The sequence below is a fragment of the Homo sapiens genome, chromosome 13 (assembly GCF_000001405.40).
Source record: "Homo sapiens chromosome 13, GRCh38.p14 Primary Assembly".
Taxonomy (NCBI): Eukaryota; Metazoa; Chordata; class Mammalia; order Primates; family Hominidae; genus Homo; species Homo sapiens.
The window spans coordinates 63,827,055-63,844,537 of record NC_000013.11 but is presented as its reverse complement, the minus strand read 5'-3'; the positions used below and the strand labels follow the sequence as shown (position 1 = coordinate 63,844,537).

At 47.3% G+C, this 17,483-nt stretch overlaps 1 protein-coding gene, 1 long non-coding RNA gene and 1 pseudogene across 2 annotated transcripts; all 3 read left to right on the top strand.

Annotated features, from left to right (window-relative positions):
- The first annotated feature begins 412 nt into the window (after positions 1–412).
- Positions 413–15,698, top strand: LOC102723968 (uncharacterized). The gene is made up of 6 exons (NR_130763.1): positions 413–1,224; positions 2,915–3,015; positions 4,714–4,789; positions 5,313–5,468; positions 13,011–13,084; positions 15,386–15,698. It is a non-coding gene; the product is annotated as an uncharacterized LOC102723968 (long non-coding RNA).
- OR7E104P (olfactory receptor family 7 subfamily E member 104 pseudogene) lies at positions 6,865–7,610 on the top strand (annotated as a pseudogene).
- On the top strand, positions 11,485–12,177 carry LOC647264 (keratin-associated protein 21-1). Its single transcript, NM_001370368.2, has one exon. It carries the CDS (start codon positions 11,545–11,547, stop codon positions 11,872–11,874), a length of 330 nt encoding a protein of 109 aa, NP_001357297.1. The 5' UTR covers positions 11,485–11,544; the 3' UTR covers positions 11,875–12,177.
- Positions 15,699–17,483: the final 1,785 nt, after the last annotated feature.

The window sequence follows — 17,483 nt, the reverse complement described above, 5'->3', positions numbered from 1 at the left end:
GCCTCGCCCCCCTGCGATGGAGGTCCTAAGAGTCAGGGGGGGAAGAGGGGTTGGCACTTACTCCCCGAAACGCGGGGGGCGTCTCGCCTCCCTGCGATGGGGTTCCTAAGAGCCAGGGGGGAAAGAGGGGCTGGCTCTCAGTCCCCGCCTCTCGGGCTGTGCCTCCCCACCCTGCGATGGGGGTCCCGAGTGTCGGGGGGGAAGAGAGGCTGGATCTCAGTCCTCGGCGCGCGGCGGCTGCCTCCCCCCACTGTGATGGAGGTCCTATGAGCCAGGGGGGATGAGGGGCTGGCTCTTACTCCCTGCCTCGCGGGGGGTTCCTCTCGCCTCTGCGATGGTGATCCTAAGAGCCAGGCGGGGAAGAGGGGCTGCAACTCAGTCCCCGCCTCGCGGGGTTGCCTCCCCCAGGTGCGATGTTGGTCCTAAGAGCCAGGGGTGAAGAGGGGCTGGCTCTCTGTCCCCTCGTCGCGGGGGTTGCTTCCCCCCCTGCGATGGAGGTCCCAAGAGCCAAGGGGGGAAGAGGGGCTGGCTCTCAGTCCCTGCCTCGCGGGGGTGCCTCCCGCCCTGGGATGGGGATCCAAAGAGCCAGGGGGGTAAAAAGGGCTGGCTCTCAGTCCCCGCCTCACAGAGGGTGCCTCCCCCCCCCGCGATGGGAGTCCCAAGAATCAGGGGGCGAAGAGAGGCTGGCTCTCAGCCACCACAAAATGGGGGGCCTTTATGTTCAGGTTTTGCCCAAGAGTCAGCTCATTTGCTTCTTGTACTAGCAGGGGAGTTGCTGCCAAGGCCCTCAAACAGGGGGGCCATCCTTTAGAAACCCTGTCTAGTTGTTCAGAGACATAGGCCACCGGCCTCATCCAAGGCCCCACAGTTTGGGTTAAAAGTCCACCTGCCATCTTTTCTCTCTCTGACGCATACAATGGAAAAGGTTTTGTCAGATCGGGTAACCCCAGGGCTGAAGCTGCCAGAAGTTTTTCCTTTAACTCATGAAAGACTTGCTGTTGTTAGGATCCCCATTCCAAAGGTTCCCGGTCCCCGCCCCCTTTGTGACCTCATACAAAGGCTTGGCTTATATTGCAAAGTTTGGGATCCACAGTCTACAAAACCCCACAGCTCCTGAGAATTCTCTCGCCTGCCTTTGGCCCTTAGGCTCTGGTAGATTGCAAATAACATGCTTTCTTTCTGTTCCCGGGTGGCTTCGGACCCCTGTCGGATCGGAAATCCCAAGTAAGTTACCTGCCCTAGGCAGATTTGAGCTTTCTTCTTGGACACCTAATACCCACAGTCCTCCAGGTGTGTCCTAAAGATCTTAGTATCTGCAATGGGGGTCCTAAGGCAGGGGGGGAAGAGGGGCTGGCTCTCACCCACCCCAAAATGGGTGGCCTTTATGTTCAGGTTTTGCCCAAGAGTCAGCTTATTTGCTTCTTCTACTATCAGGGCAGTTGCTGCCATGGCCCTCAAACAGGGGGGCCATCCTTTAGATACCCTGTCTAGGTGTTTAGAGACGTAGGCCACTGGCCTCATCCAGGGCCCCACAGTTTGAGTTAAAAGTCCGGCTGCCATGTTTTCTCTATCTGATGCATTCAATGGAAAAGGCTTTGTCAGATCAGGTAGCCCCAGGGCTGGGGCTGCCAGAAGTTTTTCCTTTAACTCAAGAAAGACTTGCTGTTGTTGGGATCCCGATTCCATAGGTTCCCGGTCCCCGCCCACTTTGCGATCTCATACAAAGTCTTGGCTAATACTGCAAAGTTTGGGATGCACAGTCTACAAAATCCCACAGCCCCTAAGAATTCCCTCACATGCTTTCTGCCCTTAGGCTGCGGTAGATTGCAAATGTCCTGCTTTCTTTCTGTTCCCGGGTGCGTTCGGACCCCTGTCGGATAGTAAATCCCAAGTAAGGTACCTGCCATCGGCAGATTTGAGCTTTCTTCTTGAACACCTATACCCACAGTCCTCCAGGTGTGTCCTAAAGTTCATAGGATCCACGATGGGGGTCCTAAGCCAGGGGGGGGACCAGGTGCTGGCTCTCAGTCCCTGCCTCGCGGGGTGTGCCTCCCTCTCCGGGATGGGGATCCTAAGAGTCTGGGGGGGAAGAGGGGCTGTCTCTCAGTCCCCGCCTCGTGGGGGTGCCTCCCACAGGTGCGATGTGGGTCCTAAGAGCCAGGGGTGAAGAGGGGCTAGCTCTCAGTCCCCGCCTCGCGGGGGGTGCCTCCTCACCCTGCGATGGGGGTCCCAAGTGTCAGGGGGGTATAGGTGCTGGCTCTCAGTCCTCGGCTCGCGGGGGCTGCCTCCCCCCACTGTGATGGGAGTCCTAAGAGCCAGGGGGGAAGAGGGGCTGGCTCTCAGTCCCCGCCTCGCGGAGGGTGCCTCCCCCCCCACGTGATGGGGTCCCAAGAGCCAGGGGGGGAAGAGGGGCTGGCTCTCAGCCACTACAAAATGGGGGGACTTTATGTTCAGGTTTTGCCCAAGAGTCAGCTTATTTGCTTCTTGTACTAGCAGGGCAGTTGCTGCCAAGGCCCTCAATCAGGGGGCCATCCTTTAGAAACCCTGTCTAGTTGTTTAGAGAAGTAGGCCACCGGCCTCATCCAGGGCCCAATAGTTTGGGTTAAAAGTCCACCTGCCATCTTGTCTCTCTGACGCATACAATGGAAAAGGTTTTGTCAGATCGGGTAGCCCCAGGGCTGAAGCTGCCAGAAGTTTTTCCTTTAACTCATGAAAGACTTGCTGTTGTTGGGATCCCCCTTCCAAAGGTTCTCAGTCCTCGCCCCCTTTGTGACATCATACAAACTCTTGGCTTATACTGCAAAGTTTGGGATCCACAGTCTACAAAACCCCACAGCTCCTGAGAATTCTCTCGCCTGCCTTCGGCCCTTAGGCTCTGGTAGATTGCAAATAACCTGCTTTCTTTCTGTTCCAGGGAGGCGTCGGACCCCGTCCGATAGTAAATCCCAAGTAAGGTACCTGCCGTCGGCAGATTTGAGCTTTCTGCCTGGACACCTAATACCCACAGTCCTCCAGGTGGGTCCTAAGGTTCTTAGGATCCACGATGGGTGTCCTAAGCCAGCGGGGGAAGAGTGGCTGGCTCTCAGTCCCCACCTCGCGGGTGGTGCCTCCCGCCTCTGAGATGGTGGTCCTAAGAGCCAGGTGGTGAAGAGGGGCTGGAACTCAGTCCCCGCCTCGTGGGGGCTGCCTCGCCCCGCTGCCATGGGTTTCCGAAGAGCCAGGGGTGGAAGACGGGCTGGCTCTCAGTCCCCGCCTCGCGGGGGTGCCCTCCCCAGGTGCGATGGGGGTCCTAAGAGCCAGGGGGTGAAGAAGGGCTGTCTCTCTGTCCCCTCGTTGCAGGGTTTGCATCCCCCCTCTTGAGATGGCCGTCCCAAGAGCCAAGGGGGGAAAGGGGCTGGCTCTCAGTCCCCGCTTCGCGGGGGTGCCTCCCCCACTGCGATGGGGGTCCCAAGATTCGGGGGGGAAGAGGGCCTGGCTGTCAGTACCCGCCTCGCGGGGGGTGCCTTCCCACCCTGCGATGGGGGTCCCAAGTGTCAGGGGGGGAATACGGGCTGGCTCTCAATCCTCGGCTCGCGGGGGCTGCCTCCCCCTACTGCGATGGGGGTCCTAAGAGCCAGGGGGGAAGAGGGGCTGGTTCTCAGTCCCTGCCTCATGGGCGGTGCCTCCCGCTCTGCGATGGGGGTCCTAAGAGCCAGCGGGGGAAGAGGTGCTGGCTCTCAGTTCCTGCCTGGCGGGGGGTGCCTCCCCCCCTCTGCGGTGGGTGTCCTAAGAGCCAGGGGGGGAAGAGGGGCTGGCTGTCAGTCCCCGCCTCGCGGGGTGTGCCTCCCGCCCCTGCGATGGTGATCCCAAGAGTCTGGGGGGGAAGAGGGGGCTGTCAGTCCCCGCCTCGCGGGGGTGCCTCCCTCAGGTGCGATGTGGGTCCTAAGAGCCAGGGGTGAAGAGGGGCTGGCTCTCTGTCCTCTCGTCGCGGGGGTTGCATCCCCCCCTGCGATGGGGTTCCCAAGAACCAAGGGGGGATGAGGGGCTGGCTCTCAGTCCCCGCCTCGTGGGGGTGCCTCCCCCCCTGGGATGGGGGTCCCAAGAGCCAGGGGGGGAAGAGGGGCTGGCTCTCAGTCCCCGCCTCGCGGAGGGTGCCTCCCCCCCAACGCGATGGGGGTCCCAAGAGCCAGTGGGGGAAGAGGGGCTGGCTCTCAGCCACCACAAAACGGGGGGCCTTTATGTTCAGGTTTTGCCCAAGAGTCAGCTTATTTTCTTCTTGTACTAGCAGGGCAGTTGCTGCCAAGGCCCCCAAACAGGGTGCCATCCTTTAGAAACCCTGTCTAGTTGTTTAGAGACGTAGGCCACCGGCCTCTTCCAGGGCCCCACAGTTTGGGTTAAAAGTCCACCCGCCATCTTGTCTCTCTCTGACGTGTACAATCTAAAAGGCTTTGTCAGATTGGGTAGCCCCAGGGCTGAAGCTGCCAGAAGTTTTTCCTTTAACTCATGAAAGACTTGCTGTTGTTGGGATCCCCATTCCAAAGGTTCCCGGTCCCCGCCCCCTTTGTGACCTCATACAAAGGCTTGGCTTATACTGCAAAGTTTGGGATCCACAGTCTACAAAACCCCACAGCTCCTGAGAATTCTCTCGCCTGCTTTCGACCCTTAGGCTCTGGTAGATTGCAAATAACCTGCTTTCTTTCTGTTCCCGGGCGGCGTGGGACCCCTGTCGGATAGTCAATCCCAATTAAGGTACCCGCCGTCGGCAGATTTGAGCTTTCTTCTTGGACACCTAATACCCACAGTCCTCCAGGTGGGTCCTAAGGATCTTAGGATGCGCGATGGGGGTCCTAAGGCAGGGAGGGATGAGGGGCTGGCTCTCACCCACCCCAAAATGGGCAGCCTTTATGTTCAGGTTTTGCCCAAGAGTCAGCTTATTTGCTTCTTCTACTATCAGGGCAGTTGCTGCCACGGCCCTCAAACAGGGGGGCCATCCTTTAGAAACCCTTTTTAGTTGTTTAGAGACGTAGGCCACCGGCCTCAGCCAGGGCCCCAGAGTTTGGATTAAAAGTCCAGCTGCCATCTTTTCTCTATCTGACGCATTCAATGGAAAAGACATTGTCAGATCGGGTAGACCCAGGGCTGGGGCTGCCAGAAGTTTTTCCTTTAACTCATGAAAGACTTGCTGTTGTTGGGATCCCGATTCCATAGGTTCCTGGTCCTCGCCCCTTTTGTGACCTCATACAAAGGCTTGGCTAATACTGCAAAGTTTGGGATGCACAGTCTACAAAACCCCACAGCCCCTAAGAATTTCCTCACCTTCCTTCCGCCCCTAGGCTCTGGTAGATTGCAAATGACCTGCTTACTTTCTGTTCCCGGGCTGCGTTCTGACACCTGTTGGACAGTAAATCCCAAGTAAGGTACCTGCCTTCGGCAGATTTGAGCTTTCTTCTTGGACACCTATACCCACAGTCCTCCAGGAGGGTCCTAAGGTACATAGGATCCGCGATGGGGGTCCTAAGCCAGAGCTGGAAGAGGGGCTGGCTCTCAGTCCCCGCCTCTCGGAGGGTGCCTCCCCCCCCCTGCAATGGGGGTCCTAAGAGCCAGGGGAGAAGAGGGGATGGCTGTCAGTCCCTCCCCCGTGGGGGTTGCCTCCCCTTCCTGCGATGGTGGTCCTAAGAGCCAGGGGGGGAAGAGGGGCTGGCTCTTTTTTTCCCTTCATCACGGGGGTTGCCTCCCCACCCTGCGATGGGGTTCCCAAGAGCCAAGGGGGGAAGAGGGGCTGCCTCTCAGTCCCCGCCTCATGGGAGGTGCCTCCCGCCCTGCGATGGGGGTCCTGAGAGGCAAGGGGGTAAGAAGGGCTGGCTCTCACCCACCGCAAAATGGGGGGCCTTTATGTTCAGGTTTTGCCCAAGAGTCAGCTTATTTGCGTCTTCTACTAGCAGGGTAGTTGCTGCCACTGCCCTCAAACAGGGGGGCCATCCTTTAGAAAACCTGTCTAGTTGTTTAGAGACGTAGGCCACCGGCCTCAGCCAGGGCTCCACACTTTGGGTTAAATGTCCAGCTGCCATCTATTTTCTCTCTGATGCATTCAATGGAAAAGGCTTTGTCAGATCGGTTATCCCAGGGCTGCGGCTGCCGGAAGTTTTTCCTTTAACTCATGAAAGACTTGCTGTTGTTGGGATCCCCCTTCCAAAGGTTCCCGGTCCCCGCCCCCTTTGTGACCTCATAAAAGGGCTTGGCTAATACTGCAAAGTTTGGGATGCACAGTCTACAAAACCCCACAGCTCCCAAGAATTCCCTCACCTGCCTTCTGCCCTTAGGCTCCGGTAGATTGCAAATAACCTGCTTTCTTTCTGTTCCCGGGCTGAGTTCGGACCCCTGTCGGAGAGTAAATCCCAAGTAAGGTACCTGCCGTCAGCAGATTTGAGCTTTCTTCTTGGACACCTAATACCCACAGTCCTCCAAGTGGGTCCTAAGGTTCTTAGGATCCGCGATGGGGGTCCTAAGCCAGGGTGGGACGAGGGGCTGGCTCTCAGTCCCCGCCTCACGGGGAGTGCCTCCCCCCACTGCGATGGGGGTCCTAAGAGCCAGGGGGGAAGAGGGGCTGGCTCTCAGTCCCTTCCTCGCGGGGGGTGCCTCCCGCCTCTGCGATGGGGCTCCTAAGAGCCAGGGGGGGAAGACGGGCTCGCTCTCAGTAGCCGCCTCGCGGGGGGTGCCTCCCGCCCTGCGATGGGGGTCCCAAGAGCCAGGGGGGGATGAGGGGCTGGCTCTCTGTACTCGCCTCTCGATGGGTGCCTCCCCGCCTGCGATTGGGGTCCTAAGAGCCAGGGGGTAAGAGGGCCTAGCTCTGAGTCCCTGCCTCTCGGGGGGGTGCCTCCCCACCCTGCGATGGCGGTCCCAAGTGTCAGGGGGGGAAGAGGGGGTGGCTGTCACTCCTCGGCTCGTGGAGGCTGTCTCCCACCACTGCGATGGGGGTTCTAAGAGCCAGGGGGGAAGAGGGGCTGGTTCTCAGTCCCTGCCTCAGTGGGGGTGCCTCCCCCTCTGCGATGGGGGTCCTAAGAGCCAGCGGAGGAAGAGGGGCTGGCTCTCAGTTCCCGCCTTTTTTTTTTTTCTCAGTGTTTTAGACGCCCAGTTGCACAACTTGATTGCCTTACAAATGACCTGCTTCCAGGATGCGGAAATTCCTAATTTCTTCTGTGACCCTTCTCAACTCCCCCATCTTGCATGTTGTGACACCTTCACCAATAACATAATCATGTATTTCCCTGCTGTCATATTTGGTTTTCTTCCCATCTCTGGGACCCTTTTCTCTTACTATAAAATTGTTTCCTCCATTCTGAGTGTTTCATCATCACGTGGGCAGTATAAGGCCTTCTCCACCTGTGGGTCTCACCTGTCAGTTGTTTGCTGATTTTACGGAACGGGCGTTGGAGGGTACTTCAGTTCAGATGTGTCATCTTCCCCGAGAAAGGCTGCAGTGGCCTCAGTGATGTACACGGTGATCACCCCATGCTGAACCCCTTCATCTACAGCCTGAGAAACAGGCATATTAAAAGTGTCCTGCGGCGGCCGCACAGCAGCACCGTCCAATCTCCGTGTCTTCTTAACTGTTCCATTCCTTTTGTAGTGTGGGTTAACAAAGGCAGCAAGGTCAAATAAGAATGATATCACAGGGTGAACACCCAAAGTGATATTAGGAGTAATACTCCCTAGGATATAGAATATACTGTCACAGAGTACACACAGATGGGGTACACCCACTGTCATATTAGAAGCAATATCTCCCTAACGTATGAGGAAAAATATCACAGGGTGTGCACACTGTGTGATATGAGGAGTAATATTTACCCTGGATATTACGACTAATATCAAGGGTGTACACACACGGGGTACACGCACTGTGATATCAGGATTTGTATCTCCCTAGGATATTACGAATACTATCACAGGGTATATACTATGTGTGTACATCCACTGTGATATTTGAAGTAATATCTCTCTATGAGATTGCAAATAACATCAAAGCGTGTACACCCCTGTGTGTACACATTAGGAGTAACATCCTTCTAGGGTATTACAGATAATGTCACAGCGTGTACACCTCTGTGACGTTTTGTACACACTTTGTGACATTAAAAGAAACATCCCCCTAGGATATTGTGAATAATAACACAGGAGGGGTACACACATGGTGTACACCGCCTGTGTCATCAGGAGTAACATTCCCCTAGGATATTATAAATAATATCACAGCAGGTGTACACACATGGTGTACGCCCCATGTGACATTCGGAAGAGCATGCCCCTAGGATATTAGGAATAGTATCACAGGCGTTGAATACGCATTTTTAATGTGTAATGTCACCCCCGGTGACATTAAAAATAACATCCCCCTTGGATATTATGAATAATAGGACCGGGAGTACACCCCGTGTGACATTAGGAATAACACCCCCCGAGGATATAACGAATAATATCAGAGGGTGTCCATGCATTGTGACCTTAGTAGTAACATCTCTTTAGGATATTACAAATAGTATCACAGGGTGTACAGGCATTGTGACATTAGTAGTAACATCCCACTGGGATATGACGAGTCATATCACAGGGTGTACACCCCGGTGACAATAATAACAACATTCCCCTAGAATATTACGAATAATATCACAGGAGGTACAGCCCCTGTGATTTACAAGTAACATGTCTATAGAATATTACAACTCATATCACTGTGTGACTCTGTGTACACCCCGTGTGACTTTAGGAGTAACATCCCACAAAACTATGATGAAAAATATCACAGGGTGAACACCCCCTGTGACCTGAGGAATAACGTAGTTTTAGGATATTATGAATGATGTGACAAGGTGTACACACCCTGTGACGTTAGGAGCAATATCCGTCTAGGATGTTAGGAAGACTATCACACGGAACACACCCCCTGTGACATTAGGATATGACAAATAATATCACAAGGTGTACACGCATCGTGACATTAGTGCTAATATCCCTCTGGCACACTATGAATAATATCACAGGGTGTACATCCCTGTGACATTAGGAGTAACATCCCCCTAGAATAGTAAGAATAATAACACGGGGTGTACACCCCCTGTGACATGAGGAGTATCATCTCCCTAGAATATTATGAACAATGTCACAGGGTGTTATCGTCTGTTCCAATAGGAGTATAGACCCCTGGGAAATTATGAATACTATCACAGGGTGTACAGCCCTGTGACATTAGGAGTAACATCTTTCTAGAATATCACGAATAATAGCAAAATGTGTACACCCCCTGTGTCATTAAAAGTGAAATTGCCGTGGGATATTACGAAATAGAACACAGGGAGGACACCCCGTGTGACATTAGAAGTAACATCCCCCGAGGATATAACCAATAAGATGAGAGAATGTACCTGCATTGGGACATCAGTAGTAACATCTCTTCAAGACAATACTAATAATATCAAAGGGTGTACACACATTGTGAAATTAGTAGTGAACTCCCGCTAGGATATTAGGAATTTTATGACAGGGTCTACAGGCCCTGTGACATTAGCAGTAACGTTTTCCTAGAAGATTACGAAGAATATTAAAGGGTGTACAGGACCTGTGAATTACGAGTAACATTTCCATAGCATATTGCACGTAACATCACTGTGTGTACACGCCATGTGACATTAGGGGTAACATCCCACAAAATTATAACGAATAATTTCACAAGCTGTGCACTCTCTGTGACATTAAAAGTAACATTTCCCTAGAATATGACGACAATATCACGGAGTGTACACCCTCTGTGATATGAGGAGTGACATCTTATGAGGATAATACGAGTAATTTCACAAGGTGTACAAACTCTGTGACATAAGGGGTGACATCCCTCTAGGACATTATGGATAATATCAAAAGGAACATACCCCGTGTGACAATAAATGCAACCTCCCATTAGGAGAATAAGAATAACACCACAAGGTGTACACACAATGTGACATTATTATTAAGGTAAAGCTAGGATATTGGGAATAACATCACAGTGTACAGAGTCCTGTGACATCAGGTTTAACATTCCCCTGCAAAATTACGAATAATACTGAAGGGTGTATACCCCCTGCGACTTTAGAAGCTGCATCTTGCTAGAATATGGAAGATAGTGTCCCAGGGTGTGAACCGAGGGTGGCAGTATAGAAAGGATCCTAGGAAAAATCCGGGAGTAATATCACCCCACTATCGCCCCCTGGATATGACCATCCACATCGCGGGGGGCACCCGCCCCCCTGCGATGGGGGTCCTAAGAGCCGGAGGGGGAGAGGGGCTGGCTCTTACTCCCTACATTGCGGGTGGTGCCTCACCCCCCTGCACTATTCACAATAGCAAAGACTTGGAACCAACCCAAATGTCCTTCAATGATAGACTGGATTAAGAAAATGTGGCACATATACACTGTGGAATACTATGCAGCCATAAAAAGGATGAGTTCATGTCCTTTGTAAGGACATGGATGAAGCTGGAAACCGTCATTCTCAGCAAGCTATCACAGGGACAAAAAAAGCAAACGCCTCATGTTCTCCCTCATAGGTGAGAATTGAACAATGAGAACACTTGGACACAGGAAGGGGAACATCACATACTGGGGCCTGTCATGGAGTGGGGAGAGGGGAGAGGGATAGGATTAGGATATATACCTAATGTAAATGACGAGTTAATGGGTACAGCGGTGTTGGTATAACATGGGACATGTATACATATGCAACAAACTTGCACGTTGTGCTCATGTACCCTAGAACTTAAAGTATAACAAAAAAAAATATATATATATATATATATTTAAAATGAAGCTGGTTAGGTTTTAAAAGGCTCCTCAATGACAATTACTTATATAGCTGAAGAAATGGGAGACAAAAGGAGGGCTTCTCTGCCTCCCCAGGGTCTTGGTTTGCCTGGAGGATGGAAGGAAAATATAAGAAACACTTGCAGATAGCATACAGTCTGGCTTTGAATGATCAGATGTGAATATGTTTCTTGGGATTTGAGGGAGGTTGGACAAGGGGTAGGTGTGGAAGTGCAGAGTGAGTTGGAGAAAGAAGTCTGGCAAAGAAGTTGTAATGACTCAGGAAAGGGAATAGGGTTGTCTCTTTCCCTATGGGTAGAGGTAGATATTTTAGGAAAAAAAGAGAGAGAGAGAAAAAGGATAAAACTTTGTTATGATCCCCCCAAAACTTGTTATGTAAGATATATATCTACTGATAGGACATTTTGAAAATTAGTATCAGCTTTATATTTGGGCACATGATTTCACTGAGATGGTTCTTTGGCAGAGCAGATTAAAATGATGTTCCTGAAATGAAACTCGAGTCTCCAAAATAATTGGCTCATTTTAAGCAAAATATTATTGATGATCAACAGTGACTGGCACATAATGATTGTTTAAATATTTGTTGGCTAAGTCAGGGAATGAATGATATGCTTTGGCAATTATATAAAGGTCTCAGGGAAGTAGAAGACGTCCACACCTCAGAAGCATCTTCTTGAAACCCATCTCAATTCTCTCCTCTTGACAACATGTGTTGCAACTACTACGGCAACTCCTGTGGCTATGGCTCCAGCTATGGCTGTGGCTATGGCTCTGGTTATGGCTGTGGCTATGGCTCCAGCTATGGCTGTGGCTATGGCTCTGGTTATGGCTGTGGCTATGGCTCCAGCTATGGCTGTGGCTATGGCTCTGGCTACAGCTGTGGCTATGGCTCTGGCTCTGGCTGTGGCTATGGAACTGGCTACGGCTGTGGGTATGGCTGTGGTTATGGAACTGGCTATGGCTGTGGATGTGGCTCTGGCTCTGGCTACTGTGGCTACCGGCCATTTTGCTTTAGAAGATGCTATTCTTCCTGCTAAAACATCACTGTCAGAGGACAATTTGCTTCTAAAATGACACGGCTAAAGATAATACTGATTCAAGGATTCATACTCCAAGATTTCTATATCCAAGAATTACATGCTTGACAGAGTCTTGGACCTCTAGCCTCACATTTCTTTGAATGAAATCATGGCCATAGGATCCACGGTGTCATCTGACTGTTTTCCAAATGTTATCTTTTGCTCCCTTAATCTCTGACTCTCTGTTATGACTGTGTTAATGATCATAACATCTACAATTGGGGAAGTCAATCATTTGTAATAAAAATGGTTCTTTATTCCAAAAAAAAATGTTTTAGTACAAAAGAGTCAAAAAGCTAAAATAAAATATAGTTTATAAAGCAAAAAATTATCAGTAAGCTAAGTTTAATGTATTATTGAAGAAATAAAATGTATTTTATACATTTACCCTAATGCCTAATGTTTAAGACATCTACTGTAGTGTACAGTAATATCCCAGGCCTTCACATTCACTCACTAATCACTCACTGATCCACCCAGAACAATTTTCAGCCCTGTAAGTGCCATTCGTGCTAAGTGGTCTATATAGGTACTGTTTTATTATTATTATTATTATTATTATTATTATTATTTTATACTGTGTTTTTACTGTATCTTTTCTAGATTTCAATAAGTTGAGATACACAAATATTTATTATTGTGTTACAATTGCCTATATTATCCAATATGGTAACATGCTGTGCAGGTTTGTATTCTAGAAGCAATAGGCTATACCTTATAATCTAGGTGTGTTCTAAGCTATATCATACAGGTTTATGTAAGTACACTGTGAAATCTGCATGGCAAACATCATTGCCTTATGATACATTTCTCAAATTTTCAGAACATATCCCTGTTGTTTAGCAGCACGTGAATGTATTTGATTTATTGTCTTGATGTCCCTTTGCTTTCCCCATGTGTTACCATCAACTGCCTAATGAAACAGCCTGGGATTGTGTAATGACTAACTTAGTGCTTTGAGTTTAATTCTTTTTCAGCCACTGTGGTATGTTGATTACTATATTAATAATGTGTCTCCTTTATGTGTTTTTAAATAGTTACTTGGTCATGAACTATTTATAAGCTTTGGAAACATGATTTCATTTATTCTGCAGGATAACTTCAGGAAGTGGGTATTAATTCTCACTGTATAAGTGAAGACATTAAGCACCAGAGTTTAAGTAGCTTGGTAAGTGTTATTCCAGTAATTAAATAGGCATAAATAGAGTTCAACTTTCTCAGTTCTATCTATAATTTCTCTCTATGTATGGGCTTATTTATATCAACCAGTATACACCTTGGTTTTGGCAATCAGTTATTGACTTTTTTAAAGAAGGAAGAGAAGAAAAAAAAGGGAAGAAAAAAAAAACATAACCCTCTTTTACTATCAGACACCACATTTTTCTCTTCCACATTATCTTCTTTAAAGAACTCCATGTTGCAGATTCCATGAGTGCAAGTGCTAGAAAGGCCAGGTAGAAATATTAAAAGTGATGCAGTTCAATACTGACAGTGATGAAATACAGAATGTATGGACCCTAATACACCAGTGGAATACTATGCAGCCATAAAAAAGGATGGGTTCATGTCCTTTGCAGGGACATGGATGAAGCTGGAAATCATCATTCTCAGCAAACTATCACAGGGACAAAAAACCAAACACTGCATGTTCTCACTCATAGGTGGGAAATGAACAATGAGAACACTTGGACACCGGAATGGGAACACACACTGGGGCCTGTCGTGGGGTGGGGGGAGGGGAGAAGGATAGCATTAGGAGATATACCTAATGTAAATGATGAGTTAATGGGTGCAGCACACCAACATGGCACATGTATACATATGTAACAAACCTGCACGTTGTGCGCACATACCCTAGAACTTAAAGTATAATAAAAAAAAAAAGAGAGAGAATGTATGGACCCTATAATCTCAAGGAGGGGCAGCAACCCGGTTGAATATTTTTTCAAGCCAGTTTAGGGAAAGATTGATAAGGTTTCCAATTTTTCAAAAGGACCCATAATCCAAATTTTTATACGAAATCTAATTTTTAATTTGAGTTGGAAATTAAAATCAATGTGTTATTTATGTTATGATCTCCACTTTTGGTTCTATGAGATTATTACTTGTTTAACTCTCTGTAATCTGAATTCTGCCACCCACAAGCCATATTAATGGAGATCGTGAATGACTTACATATTGTCTTTTGAATACATATTAATTTGCATCTTAATTGACCTGCAAGCAGTTTAAAACTCTTCAGGTGTGTTTATCAAAAGATTCCTTCATGTGACTTTTTATCTTTCTCTACTCTTTCATCAATCTCATTTATTATTAAATTTCGGTTATCAGCTGCCATGCCAATAACTGCCAACTCTAAACACTTATCACAGTTTACTATGCAAGCTTTATAGGAATATTAATATACTTCATATTCACATATTCAGTATACATCTTAAGTATTAATTCCCCAAACATATGATTGTCGTTCAGGAGACTTTCTTTGAACCTCAATAAATGTCATTACACTTTACAGCACTATATTTTTGTTTCATAGAACTTCACTGTTTTATTAATCATTTCTTTGGATAATATCATATATCTTCTACAAAAGCATAATTTCTATAGGGAAGACAATTTTATTTCTTATTTTTACTATGACATTTTAGCATCTACTATACTGGCCAGCACGCCACACATTTGTCAATAAATAATGTATTGCCTCTCAGCTCCAAATTTACCCTGCAATCACTCTGCCATAATGTGTGGAATTCCTCTTGTATTTACTTCCTCATAGTGAGCACAGTATTCAAGCCTTCTCAGTAGAGGGCACCGGAGAGATGTTGTAGAGGAAAGGGCTCTCCTATGGTGCCTGGCTCCTTACAGTGAGTGGGTGGTGTGAGTGTGAGAACATCTAGAGGTGCTATACTTCAGAATCTGAGGTCCCTCAGGAATCTTACAGCTGGGGCTGGCTTCCTGCATCCTTCTCAGCATGGACACCACAATTTCCAGGCTTCATACCTCCACAGGGTTTTTGATTCCCTCTGCCCACCTGTGTACCTGGGCCTTTGCTAACTTTGGCCTGTGGCCTGCTTGCAGTTAAGAATTTGTCATTAAAAAAAAAAAAAAAAAAAAAAAAAGAACTTGTCATTGGCAGCCGGGCGCGGTGGCTCACGCTTGTAATCCCAGCACTTTGGGAGGCCAAGGAGGACGGATCACGAGGTCAGGAGATCGAGACCATCCTGGCTAACACGGTGAAACCCCGTCTCTACTAAAAATACAAAATTTAGCCGGGCGTGGTCGCGGGCGCCTGTGGTCCCAGCCACTCTGGAGGCTGAGGCAGGAGAACGGCGTGAACCCGGGAGGCGGAGCTTGCAGTGAGCCCAGATCACGCCACTGCACTCCATCCTGGGCGACAGAGTGAGACCACGTCTCAAAAAAAAAAAAAGACTTTGTCATTGGCTCACTCCTTCTATATCCTTTTACCTAGATCCACTGAAAGAGATTCAACTGTGTGGAACCTATGCCGCGGAGAATTGCTTTCTGCCATTGTTATTGTCCAGCAGTTGCCGAATAGCTCTGACCTGAGCAAAGCAGTGAAACGCGGTGCTGTTGAGTGGGTTGCCACTGCACCTTTTTCAACTACTCTAGTCTTGTGGAGAAAACACCCCTTCTAAATTTTTTCTTCATTGAATACTCTCCCTCAGCTCCAGGGTACCATATAGAGTTTTCTTGTATTTTAGAGTTACTGTTTTATCAAAGTGTACCAGTCTTTTGTATTACATTTCTCCTGTCTAAATCAACTGTGTGGTTTCTACTCATTATGGATATAGATTGACACAAACTCAATAAATATTTTTGAATGAATAACTCCACAGTCCAAGTTATTTTAATCACTATACAAAATCTCCAGAGTTTCTTCCATATTTCTGAACATGGTAACTATGTATCAAGAGACAAACCACAAATTTAAAGAAGGTGTGGTCAAATTTTATAAGTGTTTATAACATTTGTAAATGTTTGGCATCTAGAATACATGTATAATTCCAACAAATAAATAAGAAAAAAATAAATAATCCAGTGGGATATTGGGCAAAATATTGAAACCAAAGTGTCATAAAAGAGGAAATATTACTTTTTAATACACGTGGAAAATGTGTACCCACCTGAGCAATCACATATGCAAATGAAAGTTAAAACAAAATACAACGAGGCAAAAAAAATTCCCTTGCTTAAGCCTAATGTAAACAAACAAAAAAAATTCATCAAAAGACTATTAGTTTCTATACAGTCAAGGATAATGTCCAAAATCTGGAGCCGGGAACTGATTCAGTGAGGAAACCACGCTCACCACCATTAAAGATAAGTTGCTATAACTTACATGGGTGTCACTATTGTTTCAGTAACTTGATCTTGCCCCTACTGCTATTGCTACCAGTGAGAATTTTATAGTGCTTAAATGTATCATTATATCATAATTAAAATTCTGGGGAGTGGGTTAACCTAATTGATAGAGCTTAGGTCATCGGGCATACCCTAGCTGCAACAGAGACTGAGATAATGATTACCGTTATCTTCAGCTTCTATAGTAGGTGGCAAGCTCCGCATTGCAACAACAGGCACAAAATAAAAGGTTTCTCAATCATATAAAGGTGATTAAGATACTGAGCAGCCAAAATGCACATATGTACATAAACAGACACTCTCATTACACATATGCCCAAAGAGATTTATTTCAGTATTCTATATAATATTAAAAAGTTGAAGAAAATCTAAATATTGGCCAATACAAAAATGCTTGAATAAATGGTGACATGTTATTGGCAGACGTTATTATTAGCAGCCATAAGTCAGTCTCTATATGCCACTTTCTCTGGCATTCTACTATGGAAAATAAACAAACACTTTCAAAGTTTCTCTTTTGCCTTTTAGTCCATGTAAATTATATCTTGGTTAGTAATATTTGAAGAGAGATCTCCTGTGAGGTTTATGAGAAAGTTATTTCTCTTCCTATAAAGACGTGTGTGTGTGTGCGTGCGTGCGTGTGTGTGTGTGTGTGTGTGTGTGTGTGTGTTGAGGGGCTGTACATAGGAGACCAGCCTAGTTCTTGCTTAATAGTGAGGGCATAATATGGTGAATTGAAGCAACTACCTTTCAGTTATGAGGCTACGGGTCTAAGAATGAATGTGAGGATTGCTGATGGAAAGAAGTGAGCCTGGCTTACAATAACATTATTTAGTGACTGACTCTCTGTCCAAATCTTTATTATTTGAGAAAACAACCCCTAAATTTAAATGGAAGGTTGTCGGGAATTTCTATTAAGTAAACTGAAAGTATCCTTAACTTACTCAACATTTATTTCATAGAATATTAAACAGCACTTGATTATGCTGGACCCAAATGCATCAATGGGAATAAATCTTAAAAGTATAATGTTGAGTAAGAAACCACTATGTTTGGAATAAGTATAATATGATGAAATGTATTAATTAAGAAAAATTATAAAACATTTCTGAATATTGTTCAAGCATACATATTTAATGATAATGTGAAATATGAATAAGAAAGTTGCACAGCGACACCAGAGA